At 46.7% G+C, this 469-nt stretch overlaps 1 annotated feature.

Annotated features, from left to right (window-relative positions):
* Positions 1–144: a silencer, noted in NCBI's record as "fragment chr3:12003099-12003242 (GRCh37/hg19 assembly coordinates)". NCBI's record gives its function as "represses an EF-1alpha promoter that drives an FKBP-Casp9 reporter gene in an ReSE screen in K562 erythroleukemia cells {active_cell/tissue: K562}" and the evidence as "EXISTENCE:reporter gene assay evidence [ECO:0000049][PMID:32094911]".

Below are 469 nucleotides of genomic sequence, written 5' to 3' on the forward strand. Positions count from 1 at the left end.
TAGTTCACGCCTATAATCCTAGCATTTTTGGGAGGTCAAGGCAGGAGGATCACCTGAGGCCAGGAGTTCCAGACCAGCCGGGGCAAGATAGTGAGACCCTATCTCTAAAAGAAAAAAAATTTAGCTGGGTTTGGTGGCTCATGTCTGTAGTCCTAGCTACTTGGGAGGCTGAGGTGAGAGGATCACTTGAGGCCAAGAGTTAGAGGCTGCAGAAAGCTACAATTGTGCCATTGCACTCCAGCCTGGGTGGCAGAACAAGACTCTGTCTCTAAAAACAAAAATAAAGTAGAAAATGAGAAGATACAGAGAAACAAGAAAAGCAATGTAAATATCCTTTGCGCTAGGTGTGGTTGACCGGCTAACCCAATGCCAACCTGCCCCTGGTTTTCCCAGCCTACCTTGCAGCTGGGGTGACCATGTGACCTAGTGTTGGCCAATAAGATAAAAATGTAAGGCCTTTGCTTTTCTA

The sequence above is a fragment of the Homo sapiens genome, chromosome 3, assembly GCF_000001405.40.
Source record: "Homo sapiens chromosome 3, GRCh38.p14 Primary Assembly".
NCBI classification, from domain to species: Eukaryota; Metazoa; Chordata; class Mammalia; order Primates; family Hominidae; genus Homo; species Homo sapiens.